The following is a 19088-nucleotide window of genomic DNA, read 5'->3' as shown; positions in this document are numbered from 1 at the left end:
ATGTTTTTAAATTGCTATGTATTTCTATAGTTTCAAGAGTTCTGCTTGGTATTAACTTCTAGTTTCATTTTACTATAGTTAGAGAAGACACTTGATAAAGTTACTATTTTTTTTAATTTGTTGAGACTTGTTTTGTGGCCTAACATATGGTCTATCTTGGAGAATGCTGCATGCGCTGATGAGAAAAATGTATATTTTGAGGTTGTTGAGTAAAATGTTCTATAAATGTATGTTAGGTCCATTTGGTCTAAAGTTTCATTGAAGTCCAGTGTTTCTTTGTTGTTTTTCTGTCTCTATAATCTTTATAGTGTGTCCGTAGGGTGTTGAAATCCTGCACTTATTGTGTTGCTATCTCTTTCTTTAGGTCTAGTAATATTTGTTTTATGAATCTGTGTCCTCTGGTGTTTGGTGCATATATATTTAGGACTGATATATACTCTTATTGAATTAATCCCTTTATCATTATATAATGACTTTTTCTTTTTTTTTACAGTTTCTGATTTAATGTATGTGTTATCTGATATAAGTATAGCTACTCCTGCTTGCCTCTGCTCTCTGTTTGCATGGAATATCTTTTTTTTTTACCAGTAAGCAGCATGTAGTTGGTTTTGGGGTTTTATTAATATCAATTCTGCCAATCTATATCTTTTAAGTGGAGAATTTAATCCATTTACATTCAAGGTTATTATTTGTATGTGAGGTTTTCTGACTGTCAAAATATTAATTGTTATCTAGTTGTTTTGTAGATTCTTTTTTTTCCCCTCCGTTTGTCTTTCTGGTTTGGTGGAGTCCTGTTATGCTACCATTTGATTTCTTTCTCTTCTTCCTTTGGGTAATTGTGTTATAAAACCTGATAATCTTATCCTTTAATGTGTTTTAATGATGGCAAATATCAACCTTTCTTTCCCATGTTTAGAACTCATTTGAGCATTTCTAGTAGAGCTGGTGATAAATTCCTCAGTGTTTGCTTGTCTGAGAAAAACTATTTCTTTTTCATTTATGAAGCTTATTCTGGCAAGATATAAAATTTGGGGTTGGCAGTTTTTTCTTTAAGCACTTTGAAAATAGGATCCAATCTTTTTTGATTTATAAGGTTTCTGCTGGAAAGTTGCTCTTGGTCTGATAGAGTTTCCTTTATAGGTGTCTAGATGCTTTTCTCTTGCTGATTTTAGAATTTTTTTCCTTTGTGTTGACTTTAGACATTCCAATGAGTATATGTAGTTTGGAAGTCCATCTTGCTGCATATTTTCTGGTGTTTGTTGGTCCTCTTGTATCTAGATTTCTAAATATATTGCTAGCCTAGTGAAGTTTTCATCAATTACTTCCTTAAATAGGTTTTCTAAACTTTTTGCTTTTTCTTCTCTCTTGTGAATACCAATGATATGTAAGTTCAGTCACTTTATGTCAGAGGTGTCCAATCTTTTGGCTTCCCTGGGCCACATTGGAAGAAGAATAATTGTCAGGAGCTATAAATAAAATACATTAACAATAACAATAGCTGATGAGTTTTAAAAAATTGAAAAAAAATCTCATAATGTTTTCAGAAAGTTTACGAATTTGTGTTGGGCCACATTCAAAGCTGTCCTGGGCCGCATGCAGCCCATGGGCCACAGGTTAGAAAAGCTTGCTAACCTGAGAAGTAATCCTGTACTTCTCAAAGGCCTTCTTCATTTCTTTTTCTTCTTTTTCACTTTTGTCTGACTCGATTAATTCAAAAGACCTGTCTTCACGTTCCAAAATGCTCTTTTCTTTTTGGTCTCATCTATTGTTGAAACTTTCCATTGTATTTTGTAATCCTTTCAATGAACTTTTCATTTCCAGAAGTTCTGTGTGTTTGTTTTTAAGATATCTGTCTCCTTGGTAAATTTCTCATTTATATCCTGAATTGATTCTCCGATTTCTTTGTATTGGTTTTCAGATTTCTCTTGCAACTCATTGATCTTCTTTAAAAATCAATATTTTGAACTCTTTATCTGGAATATTGAGTATTTCTTTTTAGTTAGGACATGTCGCTAGAGAATTACTGTGTTTCTTTATGTGTATCATTACACATTACTTTTTCATATTCCTATGTTATTACACTAATTTATTTGCATTTGGAGAAACAGTCACTTCTTATTTTTGAATTTATTTTCTTGGGGGCAGGACTTTTATTTTTTTCTTGAGAATGTGTCTATGATGTATACTGAGTAGAGCCATTTGGCTTTGCTTCTAGGTGTGTTCAACGGCAAAGAATCTGTGGAATTTCCTTGGTTATAAATAGCCTTAGGGTGGTAGCTTTCTCAAATGTTGGTTGTAGTAGTGGTGTACCAGGTGGGTGAGCAGACTCATGTCCTCCTGAGAAGCTGAGGTGTCATGGAAGATGGTGGTAGCAAATGTTATGTGAAACTTATCTTGTTTCCAAATGCTATGCACTTCTGCCAGTAAATTTTGTATTGGATTGTGTAGGCCGAACTTCAGGCCAATAGTTCTTGCTTGCAGGTAAGATCTCTCTGTGGTGATAGCAATAGGGTTTATACTTGATCTTTTTCAATCAGAAAAGTAATCCATTGTCCCAGGCAATTAGCTAGGCCAGGGAGCAACTTAATGATCTGGGTCCTGTGGTCCAGCATTGTGGGAAGGTGGTGGGGGTCAAGTTGGGTGGAACTGGAAAGGGCAACAGGGAAATTCTGCACTCAGGCCCTGCAATGGTGTGTAAAAGCACCATCTCTGGTGGGAATTCAGGAGCAACGGGCAGGCACCTTGGAGATATTCCTGAGGGAGAAGCAATTATTCCTGAGACAGAGCAATTATTGCTGTATCAAGTTGGCACAGGAAGGCAGAGGCAGCCCAGTCCTTAATCTAGGCAAACGAATATAGGACCCACCTCTCTCCTTACTCTTTTTTTTTTTTTTTGAGATGGAGTCTCACACTGTCACCCAGGCTGGCATACAGTGTTGTGATCTTGGCTCACTGCAACCCCTGCCTCCCAGGTTCAAGCAATTCTCCTGCCTTAGCCTCCTGAGTAGCTGGGATTACAGGAGCCTGCCACCATGCTCAGCTAATTTTTTTGTATTTTTAGTAGAGACAGGGCTTCACTATGTTGGCCAGGCTGGTCTCAAACTACTGACCTCGTGACCTGCCCACCTCAGCCTCCCAAAGTGCTGGGATTACAGGCATGAGCCACCATGCCCAGCCTTCTCCTCTCATTCTTTAGACCTGGCAGGGTTCACTCCCCAACCCAATAAAGGGAGCAAGTTGAGACACTCAGTAAAGTCATGTGCAGTATACCTTTAGTCTGCAAAGTCACACTGAGCTGTATAACTTGAAACCGGGACAAAACCATGCCTCTCTGGCAAATCTCCTTCTGCTCCACCCACGAAGGGAGAGAGCCCTATTAAAATGCCCACAGCTGGAGCAAATGCCACACTCATCTCTCAGTTTTGGCTGTGGGAGCCCCTCTGTTGCCCCAAACCCAGCATTACAATCCCCTGTCCAAGCTCCTTTAATGCCCAAGTCTGCCACTGCTGCTAGATCACAGAATCCCACCTGGCTTTGTATGAGCTAGGATTGAGAATCACATTTTTCTATCAGGTCCCAAGTACTGGAAAATGCTTGGGGTGCTTCCTAGTGATGTCCCTTCTCATAGTGTTTTAGCCTCTCTCCAATTTAGATTCAGGGCTTGGGAAGGGCAAGGTATTCTCTCACAGCCTGGATTGTACGGCTCCCCAGTGGAAATGTGGATTGCAGAGGAGTACTTTTTCTCCCTCTCCTATATTGGGACTTCACTCACAGCTCTCAGTCAGACACCACCACACAGGCTGCCCACTTACCTTCTCTTCCCCAATATCTAAAGTTCTTATTCACTTTATGTTGAATTCCTGTGTGCCTTCTTGGATAAAGTTTCACATTGTGAATTCTACACACTATTTTGCTTCTTCAGAGTTGGTGAGGCACTCTAGAAAACCCTCTACTCTGCCATCTTCTATATTAGCTGTTGATGATGTGTTTAACTACATAAGAGACCAGGGCTAGATTCTCTATTTAGTACTATTTCCCTCAATATCACAATTAGGAAATACAATGTACTAATTTTTAGATTAATTATATATCCATCAAAGAAAATTAAATCTACACTGAATATTTTACTGATAGCCACTTTCCAGAAAAACAATCTTTCTTAAAAAGTCATTATAAAGCAGATAAGATGCTCAGTTTTGACAACCAGACTTGAGATATGATGGAAAATATCCTTATAATTTAATATATCAACTCTTTCTGAAGAATAGCAACTTGGTCCTTGCTGTCTTTGCTTTCAGGATGAGAATATGTAGATAAAGATCATTTTCTCTGATTTTTCTGTTCCACCTAAAATTTAACTTTCACATCCACCTATAGACAGAAAATGATAATTTACCCTGCATGTAAACTCGACTTTCTTATTGAGATGTATTGCATATAGAATGAGTGAACCAGAAAATTAGAAGCCAGTCAAAACAGTCCAAGTTACCATTTTAAAATTTACAGGCAAGGTGTATCAAATTAGAAGCCAGTCAAAAAAATCCCAGTTACTAATTTTTAAATTTACAGGCAAAGTATATGAAATTATCTTCTAAATGTGATAAACAAAAAACTAAGGATTCAGCTTACTCATATCACTGTGCGTCTGTCCAGTAAGAAAGATGCTAAAAGTTTTGGGTATACTAATGCAAATTATCTAAAACAAATAGTATGTTTTGGAGAAAGTTAAAGTTAGCTTTAGATTAAGGATGAGCAACTTGAGTGTGATATAATTTAAAAGTAAAAGCCTATGTATTTTGCATATTATTTTATGTTCACAACTTTTTCTCATACAGGTGCCAGACAATGCTGTGAGCTTTTGATGTATTATTATCATTATTTTTACTTTGAATGGAATGTCCATTAATGTAAACTGTATTTATTTTTATACTTTAATTTTCACTAGTTTTGTTTTTAGGCAAAAGGCGAAATAAACCTATAATCTTAAAAGGAAAGAAAAATAATTTGAAATTTAATAGTTAACTCCATTCACATAAGAAAAAAACTTTGGTTATTTATTCATGGAGCAAAATATCAAATAAAGGATCCTATAGAGTGTAGCCCTGTGTGTGTGTGTGTGTGTGTGTGTGTGTGTGTGTGTGTGTGTGTGTATGTATCAGAATAATCTTTTGAAAAAGTTCATCCTTTTAAATATAAACATACACACACACACACACACACACACACACACACCAGATTTATGCTTTTAGAGAACAGTTCACCCTTTTAAGAACAGTTAATGAGGTTTTAAAGAGATGATGGTAGTATAGGAGAAGAGAAGGTTATAGTATCTACCTTCTAGCCAGAGAAGCAAAAATAAGAATTAAAACATCATCATTATAAAAACTAGTTAGCAGTGATAATACATAATACAAATATCAAGAATATTTTTGGTCTGTGTAGGTTGTAGATTTTCTAAAATCTACTTGGATTGTTGAAAAATGAACCATTTATTAGCCATAGGAAAAAAGAATCATTAGATTGCAAGCTCACACCAAATATGCAATAATAAATTCCAGATAAATTAGAGATATAAATATAAAATATAAAACTATAAAAGTACTAGAAGAAAATTTGGGTGCTCATTTCAATAATCTCAAATGAGAATCGTTTTCTTATAAAAATACAAAAAAATCCAAAAAGTAAGAAGAGTGGTAAATTTGGCTAAATAAAAAGTTTCTATGGTTAACATTATCATAAACAAATTTAAAATAATAGAAAACTGCCAAAAATATTTGCAATGTACAAGACAAGAATTAGTGTCCTTCTTCAATAAAGATCATTTATAAATCATATAGGCTGAAAATAAGTACAGAATATTGTGCAGACATTTCATAAAATGAAAACTGCCAGTGGCCAATAAATATATTTAAATGTTTAATTAATAATTGAAGAAATACTAGTTAAAATAATAATAGCAAATATTTTTCACCTATCCTATTGGCAAATATGATAACACATATTGGTAAGAATATGGAATGAGAAAATGCTTCCTGGCACTACAACATGCTCCAGGCTCAACCTGTATGTTTCCTGGCCCAAGCTTAGTATCAGCTATTACTCCATGGAGCCCTGTTTTCTATTATTGGAGCATGAATGCCACCACTTTTAACACAGTAAAATGTCATGTCAGCATGTGAAATAAAATTTTTAATTGTTAAAAGGCATGATTTAGTATACTGAGAAATCTCATAAAATGTTAATAGAATATTCATATAATGCTGATAGTATAGTAGAAATGGAAATACACGACTTTTCCTGCAACAATTTGCACACCTTTTTTTTTTTTTTTTTTTGAGATGGAGTCTTGCTCTGTCACCCAGGCTGGAATGCAGTGGCGCCATCTCGGCTCACTGCAACCTCTACCTTCCTGGTTCAAGCAATTCCCCTGCCTCAGCCTCTTGAGTAGCTGGGATTACAGGCACATGCCACCACACCCAGTTAATTTTTTTGTATTTTTAGTAGAGATGGGGTTTCACTTTGTTGGCTATACTGATCTCAAACTCCTGACCTCAGGCAATCCACCCACCTCAGCCTCCCAAAGTGCTGGGATTACAGGCATGAGCCACCATACCCAGCCTACACATTTATATGCACTAATGTAGTATTGCCACACATTCTTTTTTTGGAGACGGAGTCTCACTCTCTCACCCAGATTGGAGTGCAGTGGTGTGATCTTGGCTCACTGCAAGCTCTGCTTCCCAGGTTCACACCATTCTGCCTCAGCCTCCCGAGTAGCTGGGACTACAGGCGCCCACCACCATGCCTGGCTAATTTTTTGTATTTTTAGTAGAGACGAGGTTTCACCATGTTAGCCAGGATGGTCTCAATCTCCTGACCTCGTGATCCGCCCACCTCAGCCTCCTAAAGTGCTGGGATTACAGGCATGAGCCACCGTGCCTGGCTATATTGCCACACATTCATATATACTCTTACTTTGAGTATATCCCTTATTCCTGACAAAAACACTAGACACACTCCTGACAGTGAATACAACAAATCTTGCTTCTTTTCAAAGGCTCTCCAAACTATAAGGTCTCCCCAAAGGCCATGGCAAAGAAATGAATATAACTCAGTGGCTGGGTTCCCAGCTCAGTAGAGGTTTTATTCCTAAGCCCAGAGCCTAGGAGAAGAACAAGACTCCTGAAAAAGACCCCTAAAATTCTGGATTCTCAAAGCTCAAATTGTAAAAGGGTATCTTTAAAAAATGTAAGGACTATAGCATCTCTAGCATGAGTTCCCAGCAGTATGAAACAGAACAACAGCCAGATCTTAATGGTGCATAAATGTACTATTTATTTTTTATGCCATTAGAGTCATTAAGGTAGCAGAAAATTAACATGTTCAAAGTTAAAGATGGGTTATTAAATTATTAAGAAGTACACTTTAAAATAAGCTCTGATATCTAAGAAAAAGATAACTCCAGTAAATTAGCCATAAAAAGATCTCATTTTTACTAATTGAGAGTGTTTTAATAATATATCTTAATATGACTCTGCTAAGAAAAGAACAATGTGTCCATCTTTTCATATTAGTTCATAAAGTCGGGTTTAAAAAATAAATGTGATTAAATATATATTCAAATCTCTATAATGGTAAAAAGACATATTCTTGCACATAAATTAACTCATTTTTTAAAGTCATTTAATCTTCTAATCCTTCTAATAACAATTATTTTGACTAAACTACTTTATGAAGGAACTGAGTGTCTTTGAAAATTTCCCTCCTCATATATCTGCCTAACATTTGATTCCTTCTCACAACTTTCTTTCTCATGCTGACCCTTTGAGGATCAAAGTGTTCACTATAACATCCTGACTACACTTATTTCCCCCTGAAAGAATCCCTTCCTTCATCTTCCTTTCTCTCTGTATCACTAGAATAAGTATATGAGGAAATTAAGTTTGTCATGGAAAGTGCTCTTTGAGTTCCTGCATCATATCATAAAGTTCAATAACCTGTACAGCCAACTATGAATGTAGGAAATGTACTCTGCTGAAATGCTCTGTAAAAATAAGATATCTCTGATAATACTAGTTTTCACCCAGGATCCTCATTATAACAAAAGTCAGTAAATAAAGGGAGACTATCTATTGCAGACGAGAAAAAAGGCTTTTGAGGGAGAATCTTAAATTTGAGCTTAGTTTAGACACAGACGGACTGAATGACCTGGCAAAAATTAATAAAACTTCCTGGGCTTTAGTATTTTTACCTAAAAAATGAGAATAACATATCTTATTTCAGCATTGTTGAAAGAACCAAAATGAAATGACATATACAAACTGTCTTTCGTTAATAGTGTTAGTATTGTCATCATGATTAATAACAGCTAATAGTTGAAACAGAATTGTCTGAAACAGTAAGATTCACAACAACCAAAGGCAGCAGATTTAATTTTTATCCCCCTTTTACAAATGAAGACACTAAGGCACAGAGAATCTATGTAACTGAATAAGGCCACACAGCTAGTATGTGACCAACCTAGCATCTGAGTACAGGCACCATCCCTCTCTCCAGGGTCTAATTTTCAACACACTGCTATCCTGTATCATTAATTTTAAGGTAACCTAACCCTATTTAAAAATATTTCTTAATTACATATTTGTTTATATCTAATGTTAGGAGCTACACACAAAGAAAGTGAAGCAAGTTTCAGTCTAGGAATAGGAATTTCCTTCTTCATATTATATTCTACCCTTGATGAAAAAATAGAAGTTAAGGGTAGATGAACATTCAGGTTTTAGATAGCAAGAATGTACTGGATCAAAATCTATCATAAAATAAGAGATCATTTGGTCCTGGTTAACACAATCCAGAGAGAAGAATGATTCATCTCCCTAAATGAGATAAAAGTTTATATCAACAGTAGCCAAACCCTTACACTTCTGTCTGACTTGTGAGAAAATAAGTCAATAAAAGACAAGCTTCTAGTGTTTGAAGTAACAGCCTAAGGAAAGGAAGACTAGAGAAGACAGCCTTGCTGTCATGGAAATCCCTGCTAGGGCAGGGAAGAGAAAAGTACTTAGAAGTCTAAGCTGTCATCATAGACTAAGGATGCTGTTAGTTGAGTTATATCTGTATCTTGAGGCTAAGGCTTGGATGTCAAATGCTAGTTCTCAGGTTACACAAAGATGGGAAAAATGGTAGCAACAGGGCTAATCCTTCATCTAGAGGAACCATTAATTCCATGTCAGCAAAGGAGTAAATTACACAGCCTACAAGAATCATCCATCTTGGGTCAGAAATTAGAGAATTGCATTCTTGTGTGTACAGAGGGTGGGAGGGAAGGAGAGTAAGGGGAAGGAACTCTGATACTGTCACAGGATCCCTAGGGTGTCACTTTTCCAGCCAGAAACCTCTGTGGCTGGTGGTACCTTTGCCCAAGTTTTGCTTGGGCCTGCTGGGCTCATTCTGCCCACTCGGCCTGGTAGGCTGTGCTCAGCTCTTGCTACAGCCCAGATTCCACACCAGCCAAAGGCAAGCCAGGAGCAGAGAGGTGAGGGGTGTGTGAGCAAGTGAGAACCAGGTCCAGCCACTGTGCACAGCCAGGCATGCCAGCTGCTGCAGTGGGGCAGGCAGCTCCAGGCACTGGCACAGGCACTGGATCTGTGTAAGCCTGGAGCTGGATCAGATGCACTCCAAGCAACTTCTGCTGTGGGCACCCAAATCTGGATGAGAATTCAGTGGCGTCTGGATGCTTGGAAACATCTGAAACTGCACAGCCCCAAAGAGGGTGTCACAGCACTGGCTCGTGGAGCTTCTAGGTCTGGGCTCCCTGAAGGGCCACAGCTCTTCTCTCCTTCTCATCACCTGCAAAGTGGCAAGCAGGGGGTCATTTCAGCCCTGTTTGGGTTACAGCTCTTTTAGTCCCCTACCAGTTAGTGGGTCCCGAGTTCATTCCACATCCAGGAAGAATGAGGTACATGAAAAACTGGTAGGTGGATGGGCAAGGCAGAGAGGAACTTTACTGGGTGACAGAACAGAGAACAGCTCTCAGGAGACCCAAAGTGGGTAGCTCATTTCTGCAGGCACGTCAGCCCAATGCGTTTCCAGCCCTCCACAGAGAGGAGACCCAGAGTGGGTAGCTCCTTTCTGCGGGCAGGTCGTCCTGATGAGTGTCCAGCTCTCAGCAGAGATCTGGAGTGGGTAGCTCCTATCTGCAGGCAGGTTGTCTGAATGAGTTGAGGAGACCCAAATTGGGTAGCTCCTTCCCACAGCTGGTAGTTTTAATGTCTGTGTGAGTCTGGCTGGGTCCATCTGGGGCTTTTATGGGCTCAGAAGAGGGGAAATACGTGCTGATTGGTCCTTGGGTGGCCATAGGTGGGCCCAGAAAAATCACCACAAGTCCTCACTCCCAGTTGTGGACTCCACTGGGAATTGGGAGCCTGGCCCCCAGGCTTTAGGCCATGCCTGGCTTGAAGGTGGGGCTTCACCAGGGACCCACATTTTTCTGCCCAGGAGCCTGTCTGCCTCCTGCCACCATCTACATGTCATCCACAGCACCCAGGCTGTTCATGCCAAGGGGCACCTGCAGACCTGAGCTGAGCCACCCTCAGTACCCCTTTGGCCTCTCTCTTGTGTTTGTTGGTGCCCAATGTCTGGAGGGGGCCAAATGGCGGGGGACTGGTGAGTCGGCACCACCCCAAGCACACGCACACCTGGCTGGGTTGCAACAGCACCTGGGCTCAGCCACAACTTTGCTCTGCCCCAAAGTGGGTGCCAGGAGCAGGGAAAGGCCAGACAGTGGGAACAGGCACTTCCAAGCCTGTGGGGGCAGGGTGGCTTCCTGGGACCCCGAGAGTATATGGATGCCCAGGTCCAGAGCTGCAGCTGGGTGGCTGCAGCTGTGCCCAGAGCATGGGGCTCCTGCTCCACCACTTGGTAGGAGGCAAGGCTCCCGCCTGTTTCAGGCCTGCTGGCTCTGGGAGGATGCAGCCCCAGCTGTGACTCTCCTGCAGCCCTGGCCACACCTCCCCTGCTGCAGCCATTGTCTTCACAGCAGCCACTCCAGATGGGCCACTGCTGCCATCAGTATAATTTCTGTTTTTCCCATCCACATACCAAACAAGCAGACTAGTGATTCTGTATGTGTATATGTGAACATGCATGATGGGTATTGCTTTCTTTTTTTGGAATGCAAAAGAGTGATTAATTTTTTAAAAAGAATTTAAAAAACTAACAAAAAGTTACTAAAACTAACCCATAAGCCATTCTATAGCAAATATGTATTGCTTCTAGAAACTCCATAGTGGTATTAGGTTATTAAAAGAACTATAAGAATTTTACATAACACAGAATAAACCATGGTTAAACAATATATGGCCTTAAGACAATTATTTAATTCCTTCAAGAGTATTAAGGCAACTTGCATGTTTCCATACATATTCACGTCCTTCACTGCTGTGCAAATTCTAAAATATTTTCTTGGCCTTTGACTTTCAGAGTGAAAGTGTGTATATGTGCCTTCCAGTTTACAATAACACTACTTGTGAGTAATAATGCACTAACTTTTGCTTCATGTAGCAACCCATTTTCTTCTGTTCTCTTTTTGTCATCTCAAAAACAGGTACTATCAGTCAGTTTCTGAAGAAAAATGCAACATATAAAGTATAAGCACACTCTTTAGGGATACACTGACAGTGTCTTTTGATGGATTATTCCAAACAATACATATCACTGTTCTTATATTTCATCATCAGATCAAATGCATCATTTATCCAGGGTTTATTCTCCGTGAAGAGTAAGTTCCAAGAAAGCAATAAACATCATTTTTATTTTGACATGCATTACAAATGTCAGTGGAAGATATGTCACATGCTAGGCAACATTGCAACTGAGATACAGTATAAATGAAAATTGTAAACCAATGTTTATTGCTTTAGTTATTGCTTAATGTTTGATAAAATAAAGGTATAAAAAAATATCTTGTATATACTTAGAAAAAAATATTATCCATAGGGATTATTGTAAATGCAACCTGTCATACGTTCATCTACTTGAGGAAAAGGGAGATAACTACATATAACTGGTACCCATAATGCATCTATTTGCATGTGAAAGTCCCACTGCAGGAGCTGAAGTGAGATACATACTTAGCACTACTTGTTCATACGGATCTCTTACATTATTAAACTCTCTTCATTATTTATTTTTAACATGTCCTTTTAAATCATACTTTTGGTTCAAAACCTATAATCTAATATGGCAAACCACAATGTAGTCCATATATCAATAAGTAGCACACATGTAATGTGAATTCTTTTCAAAGAAAAAAAAGTAGCACATGCTTTTAATGCAAAATTATTTTCAAGAGAAAAACAATCTTAATTTTTTAAAAAGGTGTTCTTTTTCAATGTTATTGGACATCATTATATCTTGAATGCCTGCCAGACATTCATGTCATATATGTATTGCCTGGTGTTAAGTGCTACACGAGTACTACAAATCTCAGCATGTGATCCTTTTCTATAAATAATTTCTTCTTCATCCCTTATTCATTTGACCACAGTTAGTGCTACTAAGATGACCTTCTGTATGAGCATATTAGGGAGTAAAAAAGGCAGCATAATGAGGAGCGTGGAAAGGGCAACGGCTAAAATATTTAATGTAAAGAAAAATTAAAATGTGTACAAATACAAAGAAAACAACATAAGGTCCTGAGAAATGAAAGTTATTGAAAAATATTGACTGAGAATACAAGGGGGAACCATAGACTAGAATTTTCAGGAAGGAGTTATTGTTCAGAGACAACTCACTTGATCTGCATATCCACACAGAAAATAGCACTAGGAAAAAAACAGGTAAGCTTCTCACAGCAGTGAGAAGAGGAGCTAAGAGTAGAGGATTCATTGATCTACACAGGACAGTTTACCCCTTTTATTCCCAGTCCTCATCACTCTCTCTATTCCTACCATACTACTCCTGTAGCATAGCAGCATTAGGAAACAGGCTTTTAGACCTTGGGAGAAAATGGTTCCTTTCTAAAGAAATTGATCAAATACTGGGTAAGAGTAAGAAATAAATCAATCAGTAATTTGTATAGTTGATGGTGCCCCTAAGCAATGCTCCCAGAATTCTGGCTTTTAAAAGACCCAGAGCAATGATCAGCTGCCTATCCACTCATCTATACAAAGCTTTCCAGAGGACATATCCATGTAATCTATGTAGGGATTCAACTCAGATTTTACATTGAGCCATTCATAAAAGTAAACATAAAATCAATAACCAGAAGCCTTTTACAGTAATCCTGAAGCATTACAGGAGACAATAAAACACATTTTAAAAAACAAAAGCAAGATTCCACATAAAAGAGTAGTGCCAGGATCAAAAGACCATACAAAATAAATCTAATTATTACCCTTGAAGAATATACTGCATTCATCAAGATCCAGTAGAGAAAAATAGGAAGTCATGAAAAAATTAGAGAATAACAAACAGCTCTTTGAATCAAACATATTATCAAACCAAAATTTTTAGTATAAATGAGAATGTAAAATATGATAGAAGGTATAAGTGAAACCTCTTCCTGGAAATCCTCCAGACCATGCCCTGGAAATCTCCTAGAATGACCTGGGAACATCCTTTAGGAGCTCCAGATCCTGGTAACAGAGAAGGATGCTCTTGTTATAGTAATGTGTGTATGTTTGTGGGTAGAAGTGTACATGTGTGCATATATATATATGTGTGTGTGTGTAGATGGATATAAATATCCATGTATATCTATAAATACCATGTATGCATATATGTGTATACATGTTTAATAGTATATATGCTGTAGGCCGGGCACATGGCTCATGCCTGTAATCCCAGCACTTTGGGAGGCTGAGGCAGGTGGATCACCTAAGGTCAGGAGTTCAAGACCAGCCTGACCAATATGGTGAAACATCGTGTCTACTAAAAATACAAAATTAGCTGGGTGTGATGGAGCATGCCTGTAATTTCCACTACTTGGAAGGCTGAGGCAGGAGAATTGCTTGAACCTGGGAAGCAGATGTTGCAGCGAGCCGAGATCGTGCCACTGCACACTCCAACCTGGGCAACAAGAGCAAAACTGTCTCAAAAAAAAAAAAAATTGAAACACAATAAATTTCTAAATTTGATCTTTGTTTATAAAAGGAGGAAAAATAGGAGGAAAATATTTTTGATTGACATGATTACATATACATTTACTCATATAAAAATATATTTTTATAGATAAGTAAAAAGGTAAGTTTCTAAATTATGCATAATTACCATTTCAGAATGTAGGATTATAGATTTTTAGTTTCTTCGTTATGCCTTAATATACTTTCTGAATGTTTTGCCATGTGAATATAGTATTTTCTATTTAAAAAATTTAAGTTACAAAGAGAAACTGTTAAGGTTTACCAAAATTAATTTACACTGAAATCAGCAGGAATAGTTCTATAACAGTTTTTAACAAAGCAAGTTATAGCCATTTAATATTTACATAAATCCATGTGCCACTGAGTACTCTATAGTGAAAAAGGAGAAAAACAGGTCTAGTTCCCTGCATGTTGTACAAAAGTAATTTCTTAGAAGTATGACACCATTTTCTCTATATAAGATATTGTGAAGCTGTGAAAGCAAAAACACTAAACAGTTGTCAGAAGTCCTGGCATTTGCAAAAGCCCTGATAACATTCATGTATCCCCCTAAAGCAAAGTTTTCCAGTTTATTTGCCTCAAATAGGTTATGGCTATACCCAAAATATTGTTCCTTGTATTGTGTGTGTGTGTGTGTCTGTACTTTTCTATATAGTATGATGCTTGACCTCTGACCTCCTGAGGCTAGCCAATTCTTAAAGACAGGAAAGTCTAGCCAAGATCATGCCTTTGATAAGCAAACTAACCAATCCAGAGCTTTACCTCCTTTAACAGGCCCATACACCCCACGAGTCAATGTGCCTCTGCTTTAATCATCCCAGAGTTAGGTACCAGGCAACCAGCAGCCACACTTACAGCTTAGAGCCTGCTGAAATTATTCAAACTAGCCAATTCTAAACTGTTAAGTCTGTCCTGCCTTGCCCTTCCTGTGGAAACCTCAGTAAAGGCTCTGGCCTAATCCTTTTCCCTTGCTCCTATGTTTTGCCTCCTGACCACATTGGTGTTTTTCCCAGTTAGCATGGTTTACTGTGCCCCCTGTCTTTAAGATCATGAGTATAATGAACTTTGTTTTCCTGATCCTCTCTTCTGTCTCCTCTTGTGGCTGGATCCAACTGACCATCTCATATAAGAATACAAAACGCTCCTCTTTAGCCCCCACCCCGGGATAGCCAGGAAAGACCTACGACTGCCAGAGCCCAATGGCTGGTCTCCTCAATGAAATGCCTTGTTCATTTATCTCAGTGAATCATATAAATATTTTACCCAAGTGCTGTGGTGTAACAAAAAAAGAAAAAACAAGTCAAGTAATGCTGCCTAAAACATCAAGTGTTATATAGCATGCTGTATTCACACCACCAAGAGTAGGACCACATTCCCTGAAATAGTGTTTACACACGAAGCTGATCTAATTTTCCAGTAACCAATATAGGCTATGACCTAGTTTTGGCTCCTAAAAGTAGGTTTATGACTGCTGGGACCCTACCCCGAGTCTCATCATACAAAGATCTGGTCCCTGATACATTCTGAGTGCCTGTGTAAACAGCAGCCTGTAGCTCACAGACAATGCATATGTGTGTGGCAGAGTTGGTTGCATTTAAAGCCTCTGCATGTACCACAGGCTAGGACTTTGGAAGTATGATCTATTCAGACTCCTGAGAGAATGTCAAGTCTTTCCCAGCCCCCATTCAGCCAAGAGCTTCTGGCATTGATTCCTTCTTACAGCCATGGGCCAGCAAACTCACTGTATGTGACATCCTGCTCATCAGGTTATCACTCACAATGTGTGTCCCTTCTGGCCTTCTACTGATTCCCATCATCTCATCTTCACAATCTTCCATGTTTGTGTTCAATCTTTCTCATTACATGTTTATATTATCCTTATTTTATGATTAACCAACTCCTCTACATCCTCAACATCTTCACAAAGAACTAACTGCAGCTTCCTGCCTTAATTGCAACCAAGTTCCCTCCCCTTAGACCCTATTCCCTTGCAGCAACCTGGGGCTTTTCATTTTCCCAAGTTTCTCCTAAACTCCAGTGTTCTGTGTACGACAGTTAACCAAGCAGCTTTACTCAGATGTCCCAAAGACATCCAAATTCCCTCACGTCATAAACCAATTAATAATATCCTCTCCTCCAAAACCTTCCCCTCATCTTTTCTTCAATTCCAATGAATGATAACACTGTCAACCCAGCCAAAAACATCTGAAGATTCCTGTTTCTCATACACACACTACAAACGTAATCAACCATGAAGATTTGCCCCATAAGTACCAAATCTGTCTATTCTTCCCAATACCTACACTGCTACTTTCTTAGCCAACCTGTGCCCATCTCTCACCCAGATAGATTGCTGCATTTATTCCCAACTTGGCATCATTGAGTCCAGTTTTGTTCCACTTCAATTGTTTTTTCATGTGCTGAAAAAATGATATTTCCAGGCACAAAGTTTCTAAGCCGCTTCAGAGAGTTGGAATTTGAGGAAGTACCTTCAGATAATGACCTAAATTCCTAAGCATGGCTTCAAAGGAACTCCATGGCCTGGCCCAGGTCAGCTGTCAACACTGCATGCTCCTTGCATGCTTCCCTGGCCCCTCTGAAAAGCTTGGGGCTGACCTCTAGATCTTTGCATGTGCTGGCACAGCCTCTCCTTGTTCTCTTACCTAGCTTCCTCCTGCCTACCCATCAAGCTTTAGCTTGGCTGCCTGATATGGTTTGGCTCTGTGTTCCCAGTCAAATCTCATCTTGAATTGTACTCCCGTAATTCCCACGTGTTGTGGGAGGGACCTGGTGGGAGATAATTGAATCATGGGGGCGGTTTTCCCATATTGTTCTTCTGGTAGTGAATAAGTCTCATGACATGGGATGGTTTTATCATGGGTTTCCATTTTGGCATCTTCCTCATTCTCTCTTTGCCTGCTGCCATCCATGTGACTATGTCACAAAGAACAGACAGCACATTCTACCAAGAATGAAGCAATGACATCAGTTACTTATATACATATATAGTCCATTAAGAAGGGACAAATTAGAGCTTTAAGTCCTCATTTATCATTTATAAGACTCTAGGTCAAATAGTTTATCAGCGGTTATTACTTATTTTACATTAAATTTAAGTCAGACTATTTTGGCTTCCTATTGAAGGCACAGTGATTAAAGTTTTGCATTAGCAGTATGTCACAAGAATGGGAATTTATCACTTTTGTGATATAAAATCACTTTTATGTTACATTAATCATGTGACAGTCCAGACTTAGAGGGAAAAACAGTCCCTCAACACTACATTTTTATATTCATTTTCCTGTTTGAAAATGAGAATTTGAAAACTCAAAAGTCATAATCTAAAATAAGAATAAACAAATTGAAATCTAGATTCAAGCTATAAATTAAACTAAAATTTAAAATTTTCAGGTTTTTTAATAAAGAACAGAGATTTATAAATATTCTACAGTAAAAAATGTCTAATTAATTAAGGAACTAATCTTAAAATAATAAAGAAATTTTCAGATTAACATGCTTAAATAAACTGAATTTTTAAGAAACTGAAAATTGTTTCCAAGTAATTAATGCTAAAAGAAAGCTCATAGATCCATTAGCTCAGACCCACTGTAGCAGGAACTACACTAGGAACTGAATAGCAGGAGGTGTAGTTAATTGAGGGGTCTATGTTTGGAGACTACCTACTGCACATATTTTTGCATTTAGTGTTTCCTACTGTCTACATTGGAAAAGAGTGGTTAAAATGAATTATTAAACATAAAAATCCTGTGGTTCTTTGAAGAAACATAAATGAAATGGGAAAGCACAATTAGCTATTATTTTATATTTTCAGGTACAAAGTTAAACATGAAGATTAGTGACACCTGGATAAAAACAGACCAGGGCTATTCTATTTTACCAGACCCAGGGCTTCTGATCAATCTGTCATAACTTTGTTTGCACTGTGAAATATCCCAAAAAACTAACAATATGATTATGGCATGTACCAAACACTATTAGATCGAAAAGAAGTTAAATTGTTGGTTTGTGCTGTCATGGCCAGACATAATGATGATGTAGTCAGATCCATAATTCCAAGGGATGAGATATGGAGTATCACGTATTTCCATTTTTGTTAATTTACCCTGCCATCTTTTTAGCTCACTACCAACTTAACAATTTTTTGTTAATTCACCAAATCTATCAGAAACCTTAATTATGCACTAGTCTGTGCTACAAGTGCTTGGCTCGTAATATCTTTTAAAAACATATTTAAAATATAAATAATATTTGAATAATATATGTAGTCCTCTCAATAGTTATAAGAAAGTTCTTAAATTTCATATGACAGTTTTAAATTGGAAACATATGTAAAGTATAACCTATACAATGTCTAGCACATGATGAGATGCTCAACAATTTTAATTAATTTGTAGATATACACACACATAGACACATATGCACACATATAAAACTATGACCTTTGTAGGAAGAAAAACTATTACTGGATTTTGTTATCCTCAGACTAATATTTCAGCAACCTGATACTTCAAAAAAATTTAAATAATACTTAATCTTATGGATACTATTAGAAATGAATGAACACTTAGGATTAGTTTTTATGACACACATGAACTTCTATGAAATAGCATAGCATTTTCTCTAGAAAACATACATTCAGAAAATGCAACAAGAATGGTAATGCAATTATCCTATTCATTTATGCTTCAGTAAAACCATTTATAGTCTCATTTATAGTATCATTTATAGTACCAACTATAAAACACCATTTATAGTATCAACATACTAATTAACAGCATTACCCAATATAACTCAAGACTACCTGATATTATAAAGATCCTCACATTATACATAGTATGTAGATCCAGTGCTATAAATCTAACATTGCAGATTTTAAAATTATCAATTTAATAATAATGTTTTAAATTAATTTTCTAACCCATT

The 19088-nt window shown here is 37.7% G+C and overlaps 1 protein-coding gene across 19 annotated transcripts in view; it reads right to left on the bottom strand.

Moving 5' to 3' along the window:
• Positions 1-19088, bottom strand: part of SPAG16 (sperm associated antigen 16) — a 1126038-nt gene that overhangs the window by 978515 nt on the left and 128435 nt on the right. The window lies entirely within an intron of this gene.

The sequence above is a fragment of the Homo sapiens genome, chromosome 2 (assembly GCF_000001405.40).
Source record: "Homo sapiens chromosome 2, GRCh38.p14 Primary Assembly".
NCBI classification, from domain to species: domain Eukaryota; kingdom Metazoa; phylum Chordata; class Mammalia; order Primates; family Hominidae; genus Homo; species Homo sapiens.
The sequence above is the reverse complement of the archived record's forward strand: the minus strand, read 5'-3'. Positions and strand labels throughout refer to the sequence as shown.